This window comes from Homo sapiens, chromosome 1 (assembly GCF_000001405.40).
Source record: "Homo sapiens chromosome 1, GRCh38.p14 Primary Assembly".
Classification (NCBI taxonomy): Eukaryota; Metazoa; Chordata; class Mammalia; order Primates; family Hominidae; genus Homo; species Homo sapiens.
The window spans coordinates 162,341,609-162,361,205 of NC_000001.11; the positions used below are offsets into that span (position 1 = coordinate 162,341,609).

Genomic DNA, 19,597 nt, shown 5'->3' on the forward strand with positions numbered 1-19,597 from the left:
ATAGTGGACACTGGTAGGACAGTGGTAGGCAGAATAAAGTCATACCTAAGGTTTAGTAAACTAGTAACGAGCTTTGCCGTAGACGATTAACCATAGGCAGTCTGCTCTTACTCTCATAAAAGGAATAGGAACCAAAAAATCTCAAGGCCTAGGGGAATAACAGTTTCGGATGTAGGAGCCTTTACTTCTCCCTTTTCACCTGAGAGTTAAGCTTCCTGGCACAGCCTCCTAAGCACAGCACAGCTTGGTGGCTAAAGGAAATGTAGAAAGCTGGAGTGTTCCTAGCCCACATTTGTTAGGGACTGTGTCTTCTAAATCACGCCTTTTTGTGTGTTTTGGGAGTGGGAAGTGTAGGGGCTTCTTGCTTAGGACTGATGCCTACTGCTTCTCAACTTCCTGTGCAGATAGAACAGTCATGTCTTACACACTGCAAGCCTATGGTATGAGAAGGGGCCTAAGCCTGCCCTGTGGACACAGGAGGAAATTAAGGGTAGATGTAGAAAACAGAGGTTCTGATTCGCCACTGGGTGATGGTGGACCCCACAGAAGTTACCCATCTCCTCCTGCTTCGCTTAAGGTTCTTATCTCCCAGAAGTGTCAGGATATTTCAGGTGAGAGACCAATGGAGAATATCTCTGGAGTTAGTCTAATGGCTAAGAAAGGTTAGAGCTGTAAAACAATTACTTCTAGGAGTAGATTTGAACTGAAGAATATAGGGAGCAGTAGAGTTGACTGAGATCTCAAATTGACATGTAGATGATAATTAGTCAAGATGCCTTTCACATTAATATGGATGCTCTGGCCTGAAATAAGCAGAAGGAACATAGAAATGACTCCAGGCTTGAGGAGAAGCAATTCTAGAAGTTATACCCAGCAGAGAATGGACTACAGCAGTTGTTCCATGCACAGGGTTCCAAGGTCCCTAGGAGTTCACAAAGATAGTAATAAGAAAGATGAGCTCATTGTAATATGAGCTTCATTTATACATTTCATATTACCATTAGCTCATCTTTTTTATTACTACCTTCAACAAGGCCTTCTAGACTTATCAAAACACTGGATATCAGTTAGGTAATGTAATACCAGCTACCTCATGCTGATGAAAAGCCCTACTTGATTGCTGCCATTACCTGGGGTGGGTGGGAGGTGGATGTGATTGATGGACTATATGGTGTCAACAGGTGGCCATGGCTGACCTGAAGTCAGATCATCCAAAACACGATGAATGTTAGACTTGAGTATAGGGTGACAATCACAATTAGATTAAATTGTAGCCCATGGTGGTGGGATGCTTGAGGCCCACTGAGGTAAGAGAAGCAGTGTGCTGAGCCCTTCCCAGCCTGAGCTCTGAAACTCTAAATAAACCACATCACTCATTTCTGTCCTTGAAAGAAAGCAAAAGCTGACATCTTCAAACCATAATCAGTTATCCACCTTTGAGGCCATGCCCTGGAACCCCTGCATGTGGCTCTTCCTCACAGCCTGCATGGGTGGCCTAAGACTCTACATAGGAGCAGGCTTCTTTGTCCTCTCTCTCTTCTCCTAGTTAAATGGTGGAATACTGGGAACTAGGGTCAAGTTCTCTTCTTGGGCTCTTAAAGCAAGAGATTAAATACCAAAACAAAAGAAAGGAAGGAGCCACAGAATAGACCCAAGAACGTGAGGTCTTTGGAGTAAGTCTGGGAAAGTGTCACCTTAGATTTAGTTGGCTGCCAACTAGTGGTGTTCCAGAGGAGCTGGGTGCTGAGCTTCCATTGGTTTCTGCTGTTTAGGCCATGGCTTCCAAGCCTCATGTTACCACTGCCCTTGGTCTGCAGGAGCTCCAGGGAAACTCAACATTTGCAGCAGCATTCAAAAAAGAAAAAAATGATAGCCGAGTTCCTCTTAGTTTGATGGACCCATTGAACATTTTATCATGGCTGGCAAAAGATTCTGAAGCATATTGACTACTTCTGTTACACATGGGAGGGAAGAATTGGGGCTAAGTCCATAACTGGCATATTTGCTATCTGTCCTTTCAGTTGACTGATTGTTTCAGCACTGTGGTGACAGTTTCTGTTTTCTGGAGTATTTCAGAAAGGGGAAATGTCTTTGCACTCATTTGTATGTGCATATCTGAACAACTTTAGATTTTTCTGTCTCTTTCTTTGGCTGCTTCATGAGTTTCTATCCACATGCCCCTTGCGCATCCTCACCCATCCTGTTCTTCTCCTTTCTCCTTCCCAGAGCCAAGCTATGAGAATCGTTCGGACGGTGGGGCAGGCCTTTGAGGTCTGCCACAAGCTGAGCCTGCAGCACACGCAGCAGAATGCAGATGGCCAGGAAGATGGAGAGAGCGAGAGGAACAGCAACAGCTCAGGAGACCCAGGTAGGCACTGCGGCTTCTGTGGATGTGGGTGGGAAGGCAGTGCACACAGTAGGCTCTGGTGGATCACTGCCCTGACCCCCAGGCTGTGAACTCATTTTAAGAAACATTTTATTTTTTCCGTTTCTCTCTAAATTCTAGATTCTCTTTAAGGAACACGTATTACTTTTATAACAGAAATTAAAGATGTTTAAATTATTAAATGAGGAAGTATTTAAACTGGATATCAGGGAGAGGTAGAGCTGCTATACTACCAAATCTGACTTCAAAGAAGTTTTCAGTAAAAAAGCACCCCCATAAAACAAATTAGAAAGAACATAAATTTATAATTACCTAGTTTGTTTTATTAAATTTCTAACTTCTGTAGTTCTATAAGCCCTCAATATGGATAGTATTTTAATATCCCCAACTTTCAAGCCTCATTAAAAGTCAGGAAGGAGGCCGGGCGCAGTGTCTCAAGTCTGTTAATCCTAGCACTTTGGGAGGCTGAGATGAGCAGATCACTTGAGCCCAGGAGTTCAAGACTAGCCTGGCCAACATGGCAAATCCCTGCCATGTTGCCTGTATTTTCTACTAAAAATACAAAAATTAGCCAGGCGTGGTGGTACACGCCTATAGTCCCAGCTACTTGGAAGGCTGAGGCAGGAGAATTGCTTCAACTCAGGAGGCGGAAGTTGCAGTGAGCCAAGATTGTGCCACCGCACTCCAGCTTGGGCTACAGAGCTAGGCTGCCTCAAAAAAAAAAAAGTCAGGAAGGAGACAATAAATGTGAAAAAATGAAGTATGGGCAAGAAAAAGAGCAGATAAAAAAAATATTGTTTATGTTAATTTTTAACATGGGAAACCCAAGAAAATAAACTGAGAACTATTAGAAATAATAAGAGAATTCAGCTAGAAAGTCAAAGTTCAATAACACATACAGCTATATTTGTGATTTTCATATATTCCAAGAACAGCTGGTTAGAAGTCATAGTGGAGGAAAAAAATCCATTAAAATAACAATTAAAAAAAAAGATACTTATGAATAATCACAATAAAAATGTGTTTGTTACCTACGAAAAAATCTTAAACAAATGGAAAGGCATGCCATATTCTTGGATGGGAAAGCTCAACATCATAAAAATGTTAATTCTCTCTTTGTTTATCTATAAATTTAACATGACAATACAGATTTCTTTTCTTTTTTTCTTTTATTATTATACTTTAAGTTTTAGGGTACATGTGCACATTGTGCAGGTTAGTTACATATGTATACATGTGCCGTGCTGGTGCGCTGCACCCACTAACTCATCATCTAGCATTAGGTATATCTCCCAAAGCTATCCCTCCCCCCTCCCCCCACCCCACAACAGTCCCCAGAGTGTGATGTTCCCCTTCCTGTGTCCATGTGATCTCATTGTTCAATTCCCACCTATGAGTGAGAATATGCGGTGTTTGGTTTTTTGTTCTTGCGATAGTTTACTGAGAATGATGATTTCTAACAGCAAAAGAGGTACCACAGTAAGCTACAGTATTCAAAACTCATGGGATATAGCTAAAGCAGCACTCAGAGGAAAATTCAAAGGTTTAGTTATTTACGTTAACAGATGACAAATCATGAAAGTCAAATGAATTAAGCATCCCACTCAAAAAGTTAAAAAACAACAAAAGAAATGCTAGTCTGCAAATGGCAGCATTGCAAAGTGGCTCAGAGAGAAGACCTTTGCTTTGCATTGTAGCTGCACCAGTCACTGCCTGTGTGATCTTGGGCAAGTTCCATAACCTCTCTGTGCTTTAGTTTACTCTTCTGAAAAACAGAAATAGTAGTACTGTGCACTTCAGAATTATTGTCGTAATTAGATAAACTGATACTTTTAAAATGCTGAGCCTGGTGCTTGGCACAGAGTATGCACCACATACATGTATGCTATTATTTTTAAGTAAATATGTGAAAATTTAAAAAAACAAGAATAGAAAAAATCCTGGAAAAGATGAATGATAGCAGAGGAGGAGTGGCTTTCCAGTAAAACTGTGCTTATAATAGGTAAAACTCATGTTCAAATAAGTGCCTGAGCGGATCAGAATGGAAACTCATATACAAACCCAGATGTGTTTGCAAATTTAGTGTATGATAGAGAGGGAATCCCTATGGAGAAAAATGTGGAAATCTTTATTGAATTTGAAAATTCATATGCCTTTTGACCCCCAAATTTCCTTCAAATTCCCTTCTAAGAATGAATCCTAAAGGTAAACCCATAAAGGTGTGAAATGATTTCTATATAAGGTTACATAGCAAAGAATTTGTTATAGAACCAAAGGATCAGAAACAGCAAGAGGGAACTTTTAAATAAATTACAATACAATATGGTACAAATAATGGAATACTGCACAACTATTAAGAAGAATAAGTTAGTTCTCTATGAACTGATTTAAAGCCATCTTCAAGATATTTTGCTTACTTAAAAAAGTCAAAGTTTAGAATTGTGAATAAAGGAAAAAAATAGAATTGTGGGTATGAGGTACTACCAATTGTATTAAAAATGTATAGATTTAAATGTGTGTGTATATGTAGGTATATATGTATACACATGCATGCACACACACACATTTCTTATGCATGGAATATCTCCAGAATAGTACACAAGAAACTGGTAACTGTGGTTCATCCTGGGAAAAGGAACTGGGTGGCTGAGGTGGCAGGAAGATTGACTTTTCACTGTACTTTTATGGCCTTTATACTTTGGATATATATTAGTTATAAATCTTGAAAACCTGACATTATTTTCATCCTAGTGCTCAGTTTCTATGTGACTAGAGGGAATTACTTTACTTCTCTTTTGGCTTACTCATTTCTATTAAGTAGTGACATTCTATTACTAATGACAGCATCTCAGTGATCTTGACTCATAAAATATTATCACACAGACGGAGCCTTGCATTTGGTCATGTACCCTTGGCCAGTCTCAGTTTTAGCAGGCCGTAGTACTAATGTGATGTAAACCTTAACATTTTTCCATCTCTGTGATCTAGGGCTTAGAGATAAAACAGAGAGATAGATAGACTTTGGCGAATATTTTATATATCTCTGCTGGTCAATTTTTAGAGCGTAATGGTGACAGTTTCCTATAACTAATATGGAGGACACATCAGACCTCTAGCTGGTTGCTTGGCTCAAAGAACAGAAACCAATCTGCTCATTTCTGAATTGGAGGATTTGCCGTAAGAACTGCTAGCTGGAGAAGATTGAAGTCTTACATTGTTAACTCTTCTTTGGTCATGCCCATGCCCCGTTGGTGGCCTGATTGGCAGAGAGCCACATCCTAACTCTCAGAAGCTTTTAAACCCACAGTCACATTGGCAGCCAGTATACACATGTACAAAGAAAGTTTAACCAGAAAGTAAAGGATATTTTCTCTGGTGAAGACACCTATTCCTGGAGTGAAAGCGGTTGGACGCAGAGAGGATGCCCAGAGGTTGAATGTTTGAACACTGTTATTATCACAGAACAACCATCGGAGGAATTTAATCTAATCTCCAAGTACTTAATCAGAACCTGTCACTCAGCTGCTGGCCACAGAGGTCAGAGTTATATGGTCTGGCCAGGTGGAGAGAACCACCTGGATAGCATTTTATGTAAACAACACCAAGGGCTAGATCTTATTTCCCTTTTGCAGTGGGAGCTGCTCTCTCCTTGCACTTCTGGCCCCTGCAGTGGTCTGCTGGGTGGAGTGGGTTTGATGTGATTCACGATTCCCTGGGGACTCAGTGGGGATTCCATAAGGATCACTTCCTATACTTTTCTTTCAGTACTACTTCCCTCACTCCTCCCATGTTCCCTGAGCTCCTTCCTGCCCTGAACATATAGTAAGTATCATGGACTTTTCAGCCACAGTCAACGCCGTTCCCTCTGCCATGGGTCCCTGCCTTCACCTCCATGCAGACATCTTACTCATCCTTCAAGCCCAGCACTGTCTTCTGGGAAGCCTGACTTTCAGCTCCCACTCTCGTTCAGAAAATTTAAACCCTTTTTTTCTGGGTTCCTGTGTTTTCTTCACTCCTGGCTGATGCCGTTAACATTAACATTTAGTCCACTGTGTACCAGACATATAGCATAGCGTCCTCTGTCTTTAGTGGAGTGTGAGCTCTGGGAGGGTAGGGACTTCCTAGCACAGTAAAGACTTGTTGAATAAACTGACAAACAGAGCCAGTGAGTGTGGCAAGGAGTACATATGTTTTAGTCATTGTCAACAAGTGTTTGTTAAATGCTTACTGTATGCCAAAATGAACAGAGATTAAGTAGAGATTTCAACTTTTAAGCAGCCCCTTTTGATGAGGAATGATGACACTTGGTGTCAGGGGAGCAGGTAGAAATGAGGTGAGACTGGGAGGCTGAGCAGAGTATTGATGAGAAGGTGGTGACAGTGACCATGAGTACAAATAGAGGCCAGTGTGGTCACACTCCTTGATTGTAACAGATGGTCAGCTTGGAAATAACAGGCATACCAGCTATGTTTCTCTCTCATTTATATTACCTTTTTGGAGATAGTTTTCCCAAATCACATTACTATACGTGAGACCTCAGCTGCTTGGCTTCCGTATACCACTCTTCCTAAGAAAAATGGAATTGATATTCTATGTGAAGAAACGCCTGGGTCCATTCTAAAAAAGCCCATCAGGCCCAGGATAGTTTCTTCAAGGTTTAAGATGTCCAACAGAGCACTGAGTCTCTGCAAGGAGATCAAGCATGGGCTGGATATGTTAAATAATATAAAGGGAGGCAGCAAGGGCTCTCCCCTGCTCGTGTAGGTGAGGAGAGGACCTGTGGGGTGATGGAAATTGTGTTAGGGACATATAAAGAAAGAGAAAGACAGAGATGGCTCATGGGCCTATATGGCAGAATTCTCTCTTCCTCCAGGTAGGTCGGCCTTTGCTCTATTAAGACCTTCAACTTTGCCGGGCGCAGTGGCTCATGCCTGTAATCCCAGCACTTTGGGAGGCCAAGGCGGGCAGATCACCTGAGGTCGGGAGTTCAAGACCAGCCTGACCAACATGAAGAAACCCCATCTCTACTAAAAATACAAAAAATTAGCTGGGTGTGGTGGCGCATGCCTGTAATCCCAGCTACTGGGGAGGCTGAGGTAGGAGAATTGCTTGAACCCGGGAGGTGGAGGTTGTGGTGAGCCGAGATCGCACCATTACACTCCAGCCTGGGCAACAAGAGCGAAACTCCAACTCCAAAAAAGGGGAAAAAAAAAAAAAGACCTTCAACTGATTGGATGAGGTCTTCCCACCTTATGGGGGAGTAATCGGCTTGGCTCAGAGTCTACTGATTTAAATGTTAATCTCACTTAAAAAAATACCTTCACAGCAACATCTAGAATAATGTTTGACCAAATACCTTGGTATGGTAGTGGCCTAGCCCAGTTGACACATAAAATTAACAACCACAGAAATGAAGAGACAGAATGGCATGATGGAGAGAGAGTTGGAGCCATGGGCTAGAGGAGCCACTGAGGGTTTGGGTTCCAGCACTGGAACCACTGGGACTTGAATCCTGACTCTACCACCTTTCAGCTGGCTAATCCTTGGCAAATTTCATGCTCTCTCTGGAGCTTCGTTTTCTCATCTCTCTGGTATTGTGAGAGAATGTATGTAAAGCAGCATAATGCCTAGCATATAATATGCTCTCCGTAAGTACCCACTGTTTATCGAGTTTTCTAATGTTATAAGTACCCACTGTTTATTAAGTTTTCCAATGCAGACTCCAGAATACATGACCTCATCTGTACAGTGAGGGAGCTAGACAAGGCCTCTCCAGTACTGATTTTATGACGGGTCCAAGTGAAATGATTAACTGGACGCCCTCTGGTTATTGTGTAGTGCCGAGGCCATGAAGCTAAACCATACTTTGAGTCTGAGCATTTGGAATTAGCATTTGGTTCTGGGATTGGAAATGTTTTCTTATCAAGGAAGGCTGTTTACTGCCTAGCCCATTAGTCACTTCCTTTTTACAGCCCCACACACGTTTTCACTGTCTATAAACTGCTAGGAATGTGTTTCTTCTTACTGTAAATGCTTCTCCCAGAGCATTTTTGACTCTACTAAGATTGTTGCCTAATGGCACACCTTGAGCGCCCAGAGTTGAACTGTTGGCTGTTGTTTTTTTTACGAGAATCTCACCTTCATGTTTGGGAGCTTTTCATTTAGTGCAATGTTTATCTTTCCAGTGGAGCTGCCCCACCTGACACGTCAGCAGGCCCTCCGTTGTGCAGAAAAAACATGTTTACTCTGAGGAGCTGGAAAGTGCTGTCTTGTCATGTCTTTTCATCGTTTTCAGCAGTGCTTTCAATGATGTTGCTCACTTTCATTGTGTGCCTCTTCCCTCTCTCCCTCTTTGTGCCTGTCTTTCTTTCTTCCCTGTTCTTACTACTGTTCCCTCCCTGGGGGAGTTTTGTCTTTTGTATCATTTGGCAGCAGCTGCCCTTGGCCATCCCTGGGACTCCAAGCCAGGTGGAGCCACTGCCCCTGTGGCACTTGCCCTGTTGTGCCCTATACTGCTTCTCTGACTCCTTCTGGAGAGGGTTTCCTGGGTGAGACCCTGTTCCCCTGGAGGTGACCCTCCTCCCCCAGCTGCAGACAGTCCAACATGGGAAAGGGCTTGGAGCCTTTTGGCAAAATAGACCTTTTTTGAAAATAAAACTTTTTTTATTTAATGTGAGAAAAGCACCTAACATCTACTCTCTTAGCAAAGATTGTGAATATGATATTATTAACTAGAATCCTCGTGTCGTACATTAGAGTTCTGGCCTTATTCATCCTACATACCTGCAACTTTGTATCCTTTGACCTACATCTCTCCCTTCCCCGCAATTCCTGGTAACTACCTCTTAGTTATGATGATAAATCAGTTAATACAGGTTGAGCATCCTTAATCTGAAAATCCAAAATCTGAAATGCTCCAAGATCGGTAACTTTTTGAGCACCGACATGACACCGCAAGTGGAAAATTCCACTCTTGATACCTTTGCTTTCTGATGGTTTCATGTACACAAATGTTGTTTCATGCACAAAATTATGTAAAATTACCTTTGGCTATATAAGGTACACATGAAACATAAATGGATTTCATGTTTACACATGGGTCCCATCTCTAAGATATCTCATATATATGCAAATAGGCAACTCTAACATCTGAAACACCTGTAGTCCTAAGCATTTCAGATAGAGATACTCAGCCCATACACATAAAACTAGTGCAGTGCCTGAAGCATACTAAGTGCTGTTTAAGTTTAAGCTGTTATTGTTGCAGTTTCAAGGCAAAAAGTGGCCATTTCAAGCACTTTGAGACTGAGCTTGTAACTCCTTGCTCATTTGACTGTACCAATCTGGCTAAACCCCAATTCTACATTAACTCAGGAGTATTTTTTCATTTTTGCCCTATGACACTGAACAGCACTGGAGAAAACTGCCACCCACAGACCGATTACACATTTGTGATCCCCAAGCTCAGCCAGGGCTACTTCACCATTCAGCAGCCCTGCTTGTCCCCCCCTTCTGTCTCAGTGGACAGTGACCTTCTCCTGTCACCTGCCTCTGCATTCCACCTCCATCTCGCCTCCTCTGGAACTTTGAGCAACTGGTTATCTCATGCTCCTGAATCTTCACCCAAATTATCTGCTATTGCTGACTTGCCCTTCCTCGCCCAACTGCAGATAGATAAGGTCGGGTCTTTCTTATCTTAAAAGCTGAGCAAAATTAAGCCTTCCTTGTCCCTATGTCTCCCCCCGACCTACGACCTTACCTCTCTCCTTTCCTTGGTAGCCAGGCTTCTTGCACAGCTTGTCTGTACTCACTGTCTATTTTCTTATTTTCTCCCAGTCTTTCTGTCCACTCTTGATATCTTTTCAACCTCCAGTAATCTGGTGTCTGCTGCCCTGCCAGCCCTTCCTGAAGTTACCAGGCAGGGGTTCCTAAGGGCCACCTTTCTCTGTAGTGCTCAGCCCCGGGAATGAAGTGCACCTTTGCAGCTTCTGGGGCACCCCACACTCCTTCCCTCTTGACTCTGCTAGCTGCTTTTCAGCATGCTTTGTAGGCTCTGCTTCTTCGTCCTCTTTTTTTTTTTCTCAAGACAGAATCTCACTCTATTGCCCAGGCTGGAGTGCAGTGGCATGATCTCAGCTGACTGCAACCTCCGCCTCCTGGGTTCACGCAATTCTCCTGTTTCAGCCTCCCAAGCAGCTGGGATTACAGGCATGTACCACCATGCCCAGCTAATTTTTGTATTTTAGTAGAGATGGGGTTTCACCATGTTGGCCAGGCTTGTCCCAAACTCCTGAGCTCAGGTGACCCACCCACCCCGGCCTCCCAAAGTGCTGGAATTATAGGCGTGAGCCACCGCGCCTGGCCTGCAGGCTCCTCTTCTACCTACCCCTTAAGTGTTGGAATTTCTCCTGGACTTGCCCCTGGTATTTTTTTTTTTTTCTGACATTCCATGATTTCAACTAAAGTTTATCTTTAGGCCAGGCCTTTTTCCTGAACTTTCCATTCATGCACTATAGTAATCTACACAGCCTGCCATAATAAAATGCAGTAGATTGGATGGCTTAAACAACATTTATTTCTGACAGTTTTGGAGGCTGAGAAGTCCAAGATTAAGGTGCCAGCCAATTTGGTTCCTGGTGAGAACTCTCTTCTGGTTCGCAAACAGCTGCCTTTTTGCTGTGTCCTCACAGGGTGGAAAGAGAGGGATCTCCTACATCGCTTCTTATAAGGGCATGAATCCCATCATGAGGACTGCATTCTCATGATCTAATTACCTCCCAAAAGCTCATCTCCAAGTGCTATTACATTGGGAGCTAAGGCTTCGACATATGAACACCAACATTCAGTCCATAACATACCCAACAGCCTAATAGGTATCCCTACTTGACTGTTACACAGACTCTTACAATGTCAACAGGTTTAAAACTGAACTCATCTTCTTACCTGCAATCCTGCTTCTCCTGGATTTTTCCTATAGGATGCCATTCTCCATTCAGTCACCTGAATCAGATATTTTAAGACTCATCCTGCACATATCCCCACCCCCGCCCCCACCACAGACAAGCAAACCCTGTGCTTTCTGCCCCCTGACGATCCTTCGAATCCATCTCTTCTCCATGTTATTGCCATTGTCTTCACTCAAGCCCTCATATTTTCCACCTAGAGTATCACTTTCTCTCATTGCTGCTGGATCTATCCTCCATACTATATCTAGAGTGAAATTTTGAAGGATGAAAATGTTTTGGTATTACTTGCTTTCAGTCCCTCAAGATAAAATGCTGACTCGTCCTGGTCAGGTCCCTCCCTACGGGACCACTTGCATTGCCTGACATGCCGTGGACTTCCTGCCTCTGTGCCTCTCTGCCCCTGCCCCCGCGCCCGGCCAAACCTGACAAATTTTCTGATTCCACCTGGGCTTCTGGCGAGGCCCTGTCCAAACCCTCTGTGTCTGGGGCTTCTTAGTTCTTGTTATTAGGATCTCCAGGGATGGGAAGTAGATAAGCAGCCTTCTCCTGCAGCCTGTTCTCCTGTTTTGCTACCCTGTCACTACATTACTTACTTTGTCAGTATTTATGGAACACTTTCTCTGTGCCAGAGAAACATTTTTAGGAAACATGAATGAGACACAGCCTGGCCTCAAGTCTGTAAGGGAAGACTGATGGCCAGGCACATCCAATATCATGTGCTAAGTGCACAGAACACTGCAGTAGCCCAGCTTCTCCTGATCACTGATAGAAATTTCACCCTGCTTTTTCCTGTACAGGCATGGAGAACCAAACGCTTAGTTCCCAGCACCACCCACCTACCGACCCTCCATCTCTCAGGCTAAGCACCCAGCCATCAAGACGGTCACTTCCAGGTGCAGGCTGTGGTAGAAAGCAGGCTGCTCCCTGTGCTCCCCGCCTACTGGCTGACCAAGGGGCAGAAGAGCTTCCCCTTCCCTGCCCCCACTAGCTGCAGTCAGAACCATCTTTTCTGTTAAACGCCTTTGCAGCCCTCCACAGGACTGTCTCCTCAGCTCCTGGAGTAGCCAGGAAGAAAACCAAGCCCACTGTTTACTTTCTAAATGCCAGGCTTGTTTCCCTTGATGACTTGTGTAGGTTTGCATAGGAAAACTTCTTAGAACAATTTGTTCTACAAGGCAAGCACTCAAATGGCCAAGGCCTGGTTGCCTGGGCTAGCTTCAGCACTGGGGCATCAGCTCTGTGTCTCCTGCTTTACATCCACCTGTTCCATTTTATAATTGGTGCGTGGTCTCTGAAAACTCATGAGAAATCTTATTTAAAGACGGCAGTAATTAACCTAATTGCAAATATAGAAAATGAAAATATTTCCTATGAAATGCCCAGGAGTTGTCAGATGTTTTTACAGAATCCCAGAAATAGGATCAAGGAAGGAAGATAAGTAGGAAATAGCAGGGCTTTCATACATTGGTATTAAGCAGTATGCTGTGCCTGTGGTTAAATATTAAGTAAAGACATGGCCATTGTCTTCAGTGGAAAGGAAGAAATGTGGGAAGTAGAAAAATTAGATAAGGAAGCATGGAAAAGCAGCCACCCCATCTCTCTCCTCCTCCCCGTGCCACTTCCTGCAGGCGTCTTCCTGGCTTCTGCTGTTGGTGAGAGGATCAGGCTCTGAGGGCTGGGAGATTGATACTGTGTTAAAATGCAGCCTCACATCTCCCTGCCTTATTCCTCAGTCATGGAACCCTACCTGTCCATCTAACTGAGCTTCTAATTCTGTAGTTAAAGAAACATGGCCCAGAGAGTGAGGGGATTTGCTTCTTGTCCAGCAGTTTATTGGAGGCCCAACCTCCTCATTTCTGGACCCCCGGGCCAGGGCCCTTTCCCTTGACTGCTTCCGTTCCTGAGCTGCGATGACATGGAGATGATCAGCATCCCCTTCTTCCAGTGTACCTTGTCAATATATTCCTGTGAACCTGGCAAAACTTTTACATCCAGGCTTGAGGAAGTATTGCCTTTTTTTCTGGACTTTGAAAAGATACTAAGATGAGAACATCTTACTGGGCTGGAAATGCACTTTAACGTACTTGAGTGAAAAGATGTGTGAAAATGTTACAAAGCCAGTGGCATCCCTAGGCTCAACATGCCTGAAAGCTAAAGTATTAGGAAAGGAGGACTTTGTTCTCGGTGTTTTCATTCTCTTCCCTCCCTCCCCTGTTGTTCCTGCAGGCCGCCAGCTCACTGGAGCCGAGAGGGCCTCCACGGCCACTGCAGAGGAGACTGACATCGATGCGGTGGAGGTCCCACTTCCAGGGAATGATGTCCTGGAATTCAGCCGAGGTGTGACTGATCTAGATGCTGTAGGGAAGGAAGGAGGCTCTCACACAGGCTCCAAGGTAGGCAAGAGATGGCCCATCTGTGTGATCTGCACACGTGTGCCCTCAGGTCATCAGTCACTTCCTAGCCCCTGCCAGCTCAGCTTCCGAGTGAGGCACTCCATGGCACAGTGGCGGTGCCAGAGCGCACTTCATTGCCTTTCAGAAGGTCTGACTTCCAGAGGGTCTGAACACTAGATGCTGCTGCAGGCCAGGATGCTGTGGAGCTGATTCCTGACACACATCGCCCTCCCCAAATCCCACCAATATTTGGTCTCCTACTCCCTGGCACCCTCTTCCCTTAACAGCATCTCATCTTTGCACAGTATTTTGCAAGGCTCACTCTGGCACACACACACACAGACTCCCCTGTGACTTAGCTAGTAGAGCAAAGTCAGTTTGGGCCCGCTCTGCCTGCAGTAGCGGTGGTATACCGTTGGTAATTCCTGTGGATAGCACTTTGGAGTCTGGAAGTTGGCCCACTGGATGTCAGAAACTGAGAGACCACCTTAGTCTTCATCAGCTCTAACCTAACATCATATAGGTGAGATGACTGTGGCATCTGGGGGTTCCTAATGTGATCCAATTAAGAAACTAAGAACTTGAGATCAAATTCCAACCTGAAGCCAAAGCTAATTAAAAATGTTTTAAACCCAGAAGCAAAATTACTGACCAATAGCTCTACCCTTAGATTCCCAGGCGGTTTATATCAGGGCACCTCTCTCTCTTTAACATTCATATCTTATCTCACATGGAGGTTTGGAGGGCAGTTCAGTTCTAAACTAGCTGCCTGACGTTTCCTTTGGAACCAGTTTATCCTCTACAAGTGGAAACAGCCCTGTGTCACTGGGGGCCTTCCTTGTGTATGTCTGAAGAAGTCCCCACAGCAGAACTGCCAGAAACAAAATGTCTTTCCCTGCCATGGAATTCTATGAATCGTAGAAGCCATCTTGGTAAAAATGTCCACAGGAGAGGGAGACAGAAGGAAAGGAGGGAAGGACACAGGAACTTCTTTCATCTAAGAGGATCTCTCCAGATCATTATATATTTTAGGATCCAAACTTCTTTGCCGATGGTTCTCACCAGAGGCAGTGGAGGGCAGGAGGTAGCCCCCTCACATGGCCCCTTCCTCCAGGACCCAGCTCCACGCTTCTCCCAACAAGGGAGAAGGAACATCTCAGACCCTGGAGGAGGGAGCCCTAAGGACACAGCAGAGTAGAGGATTGAAGCTGGGTCCTTCCTGTTATCATGGTAGGGTGGATGGAAGCTACGTTTTCCTAAAATAGATTCTTCTAAGTCTAGAACCTCAAGGAACTCAGTGACAGGGTATCATTGGAAGTGGTGGGCAAGAGATGGAGCAGTATCAGCCATCAGTCTCCCATCGGGGTCAGTTACCGAGGTGTCCCCCTAGTCCCCCTACGATTTTCTGACTGTGTGGTATCAGCCCAGGCAGCTACACCATTTCCTTTCTGGGCCTCTACTCCCATTTCCATTGAAGATATAGTGCTGTCAGCTTATGGGTTGTAAGTGTGCCAATTTGCTCCTCCTGAGTGCATGCCAAAGAGAGGGAGGCCCCTCAAGATGGCTCCTGCCACATGTCATGTCCTGTCTTCTCCTTCTCCTCCAGGTTTCGCACCCCCAGGAGCCCATGCTGACAGCCTCACCCAGGATGCTGCTCCCTTCTTCTTCCTCGAAGCCTCCAGGCCTGGGCACAGAGACACCGCTGTCCACTCACCACCAGATGCAGCTCCTCCAGCAGCTCCTCCAGCAGCAGCAGCAGCAGACACAAGTGGCTGTGGCCCAGGTTCTCCTCAGCCTCCTCCCTACTTCGCAGGCTCCACTCTCATGGGCTTGATGCACCTTCCCTAGCGAGGGGCTCAGGGCAGGTTTAAAATCTAGGGAGTCATAAGGAATCGCTCATGCTATTGGATCATTGCTTGTTGGGGAGTGGGGGCAGCGGGAGGGGGATAGATGGGGGATGCAGTTGAAATGGAGAGGCACATTTTGGTTTCCCATGTATCCCCTGCTCTGAGCTGGGCTTGGCTGGCTTGGCTGAATGTTGTTAATGACTTGAACTGACCAAGGGAAAAGATGCACACAATTCCACCCTTCCTTTCCTGCCTTACTTTCCTGATATTTGGGGTGGAAAGTGATGCCTTTGGAGTCAGAACAGTTGTGGCTTTATGATACCACTCTTAAAACAGCTTAAAGTATGAATTTGTGCCAAACACTGTTGTAAAAAGATTACTACCCTAGCATCCCAGTCTCCGTGTCTATAACAGGTTTCCCAGCCTTCATTACGATCTACTTATTCCAGGCAGTATTTGATTGGAATTCATTATTGTAGGATTTAACTTACAGGAATTTAGGTGTATTATTTGAGCCATAATGAAAAGAATTGGCTTAGATCTCAGAATCAAGGTGGTGTTTGTACCCCAAAAAACTTGTTCGGGGGCTGCTACATTATAGGGGAGGGTGAGCTGATTTCCCTTGCTGCTTTCAGCAGGGATTCTTCTTGTTTGCTTTCTATAGAGGGCGCTGTAGTCCACATCTTTCTTGGGAAGTCTGAGCTCCCTCTCTACCACCAGCACTCAGGGAATGGTGAAGACATTCATTCATACCCAAGGCTGAATCCTGAGGCGAGAGGCAGGGTCAGGGCCTGATGAGTGCATGAAGATCTTAGGAGACGGGGCAGTTGGGGCTTGGAAGAATTGGTAAAGGATCTGGAAAGGCAGCCTGCATCAACATTCTAAATCTGCTTGACCAGACTGTTGACCACTTAGGTTTTCTGCATTCTAGAATGGCGGGGAGCAGACTTCTCCAGGGAGCACTTATTGCTCTCTGTTATGTCTTCTGCTTACTCTTGTCCTGGCTCTTGAGTGGACTGAATCATCCAGCCAGAGATATCCTTTCCACCTTTCCACCTTGAGGAGGCATCCGGCGTCCTGGCCATAACAGGATCTGCTATGACTCAGGGTTTGAAGAAGACCTTCTTGTAACACGGTCTCTCCTGACCTGGGCCTGAGATGCAAGGCTCATGGATGACTTTTGCAGCCAGGTTTCAGGAGAGTAGAGTCAATGGGACACAGCTCTCAAGTTATCGGAGTCTTTTTAAAAAGTCTTACCATGAAACAAAAGGATATCTCGTGATGCTAGGAGGATTTGCAGGTGTTCCCAAAACAGCAACAGAGAGGGGGAATGTCATTAATGGCTTCTTATATTTGGAGAAAAAAAATCATTTCTCTTTGTCAAATAAAAGAATCCATCTCCTGTAGTTAATGATGGCACAGCAGTCTGAGAATCCCCTCCCTAGTGTGACAGTTGACAGGAGCACAAAGACTAAGCACTGCAGCACGGGTCCATTCTCAGACTCATTTCATTTCCACAAGTTTCCCATTGAATACAGAACATAATACTTTTATTTTGCAGCGTATCAATTGCCAAGTAATTATTATTTATCTAAGAGTGGGCTTGATGCATATTCATGATATGATTTTATCAGGGAGGCATTTGAATTCGAAGTCACTGCTAAGTACTAGAGAGAAACTATTTGCAAATGTGTAATCCACACAATAGTGTTGTGGCGGTGGAAGGAAGCATTCAATCTCCAAAGCAACAAGACATGTAACTTATCACAGGTCTACTACAGTCAGGATGAAACCTTAAGAGTAGTTTTCTGGTATAGAATCAATTGTCAGTCTCCATGGGAAATCCTGCCCTGGCCCTGTTTTAATTGTGTCTCTCCTAGAAGACAATGAATCTAGGGGAAGGAAAGGGTGTGGTATTAGAGATTTGCTTCATGAGCCTCTCTCGGTTCCACATGTCCACAGGCTGAGCACCCTTAGCCTCTCACTCACTTGGAATCTGTTGAATATAGTTGCCCTGCTTGACTCTCAATACAAGCAGTGTGGTGATCAAAAGGCCACCATACTGCATCTGTGTCCCACATTTGTGAGATGACTTTAGGGAGAGTCTTAGGCTTCCAAAATCATCAGATAGGACGTTGGGGTCATCTGATAGGTTCTTGAACATACTCCTGTACCTCTGTCTGCCATGCCCATCTGTCTCTGACTACCTTCTTTCTGTTCGCATCTTGCTTTTGCTGTCCAGGACCACAGCAGGGATATTGTACATTTCAGCTGGCTTTCAGCTCTCCTGTCCTGCAGACGGATTCGGTCCTAAACTGACCTTCAGTTAGAGGTTTCTCCGCACACTGTTCATTCTTCCACTTTCTTTGTAGTGTTTAATTCAAGGGCTTTTTTACTAGTGTCTATATCCTTGGGTAAAAACAATTACGTAAGATGTAGCTGGATTAATAGGTGGGTCTTCTTGGCATCTTTCACACATTTGAAATAGACCAAGTATAGCAAGCTTGGTTTCTCTACGCGGGGGGGGGCTGATTTCAGTTTCCAGCACGAGGTCAGCTCTTACTTGTTCTGTCAGACTCTATTGCCACCAAACTGCAAGGCTTCTGTCTGTCTTTATTAAACTACCAGCAGTCCCCAGAATTCCAGTGAGTAAAACTATGACCTCAGCCTTTCAGGTGGGAATAGTTTCCTTCTCTCGGAGAGCATCCAAATCCTCCTATGTTGTTCCTGGATAAAAATCTAAGGATAAAGACAGTTTCTTGCAGACAAGTGTACCCTTGATGTCACTTGTTGCACTATTTATGTCGTCCCCCCCCCACCACCCCCATTTCTTCCCACAGACTAGTCTAGTTCTGCTGTTGCCATGGGGACCAGGCTTAGGTTTCCTTCACAGTGTCCTGATTTGGTCTAAGACCGCAAGACCTCTCCCAGCCTCACCCTAAATTGGTTCTGAGCTGGTCTCAAAGGGGCCCGCCCTGACCTTAAAGGTATATGGGCAAAGGTGGTATTCAACCAACTCTTAAGTATTTCCGGGTTAGACCTCAGTGGGTAAGTAGTGAATACCCAAGTCCCTCTGACCGCTCTTCCGACCCAGCATGAGGCTTGCCTGGCTGCACTAGCTTCCTGCTTTTAGGTGGACCAGAAGTTCAAGGGTGTGAATGAGAGTATAGCTAAGCCTCGAAGCGAAGCTGGGATGTAGCTGGCACCTGCATGGCCATGGGCTGGGCCGACATAGTCTCAGAACTGATCTGGGCACTGTGGCTGATTGGCAAGTGTTAAGTAGGCCAGGTCTATTCACAGTTTGCCAATTCCCAGCCTTTTTCCTGAGGAAAGTGTTAGTACAGTTCAGTATTGCTATTTAAAGATTTCTCCTCTACCTGCTGCCACTTCTGTTTGTTCAGGAACAAGGAATTGGTTATTTATGCTTCGCAATCATGTATGCTGTAGTTAGAGGAACAGTGCTAACAAAACTCCGCATCCCCACCCCAGGCCCTCTATTTAGCATATGTCCCTGTGGCTTCTCCCAGTCCCCAGCACGCTGGCATGCACTGCCCAAGTCCCTGCCATGTGCATGCTGAGACAGCGGCGCCTGCCTCTGCTTCTGTGTCCAGTGTGTGGTGGGGCAAATTGCTCTGGTTCTCTCCACTGCCATTTCCATGTGCCTGCTACTCCCTAACTTCAGCCTGGCCCTGCCCTCACTTCTGATGGAGGAGCTGGAGTCCAGGCAAGTAAGCTGGAGAGTGAGGGCGCCAATGGTCTGGTGTGGCTGGGTGGGTTGAGGGTGGGTTTCAGAGTTTGGGAAAGCAGTGTAGAGCTGGAGGGTGCAGGGCTGAACTTTTGTGTGTCATGATGAGGCCAGAGTGCAGAGCTGGACATCTGAGCCCTGGCACTCGGGACGTGGCCGTAGTGTCACATCACTCTGTGCCACATCACTGACTTAGTATGTAAGTACAACATTCATTGCCAAAGACAACACAGTTCTGCAAAGGAGACACTAATTTGTAC

At 45.1% G+C, this 19,597-nt stretch overlaps 1 protein-coding gene and 1 non-coding gene across 3 annotated transcripts in view, besides 2 other annotated features; both read left to right on the forward strand.

The window, feature by feature from the left end:
* The window catches only part of NOS1AP (nitric oxide synthase 1 adaptor protein), a 300,785-nt gene that overhangs the window by 271,918 nt on the left and 9,270 nt on the right, over positions 1-19,597 (forward strand). For both annotated transcript variants that reach the window (NM_014697.3, NM_001164757.2), the window contains exons 6-8: positions 2,227-2,368; positions 13,579-13,745; positions 15,352-15,528. In NM_014697.3, the coding sequence (NP_055512.1) occupies positions 2,227-2,368; positions 13,579-13,745; positions 15,352-15,528 (486 nt within the window). The remainder of the gene's footprint in view (positions 1-2,226; positions 2,369-13,578; positions 13,746-15,351; positions 15,529-19,597) is intronic.
* Positions 938-1,032, forward strand: MIR556 (microRNA 556). The gene has a single exon (NR_030283.1). It is a non-coding gene; the product is annotated as a microRNA 556 (primary transcript).
* Positions 13,250-13,750: an enhancer, noted in NCBI's record as "H3K27ac hESC enhancer chr1:162324648-162325148 (GRCh37/hg19 assembly coordinates)". NCBI's record gives its function as "activates a minimal SCP1, AML or CMV promoter by ChIP-STARR-seq in primed H9 embryonic stem cells {active_cell/tissue: H9 hESC(primed)}" and the evidence as "EXISTENCE:reporter gene assay evidence [ECO:0000049][PMID:30033119]".
* Positions 16,139-16,361: a silencer, noted in NCBI's record as "fragment chr1:162327537-162327759 (GRCh37/hg19 assembly coordinates)". NCBI's record gives its function as "represses an EF-1alpha promoter that drives an FKBP-Casp9 reporter gene in an ReSE screen in phorbol 12-myristate 13-acetate-treated (for megakaryocytic differentiation) K562 erythroleukemia cells {active_cell/tissue: K562(+PMA)}" and the evidence as "EXISTENCE:reporter gene assay evidence [ECO:0000049][PMID:32094911]".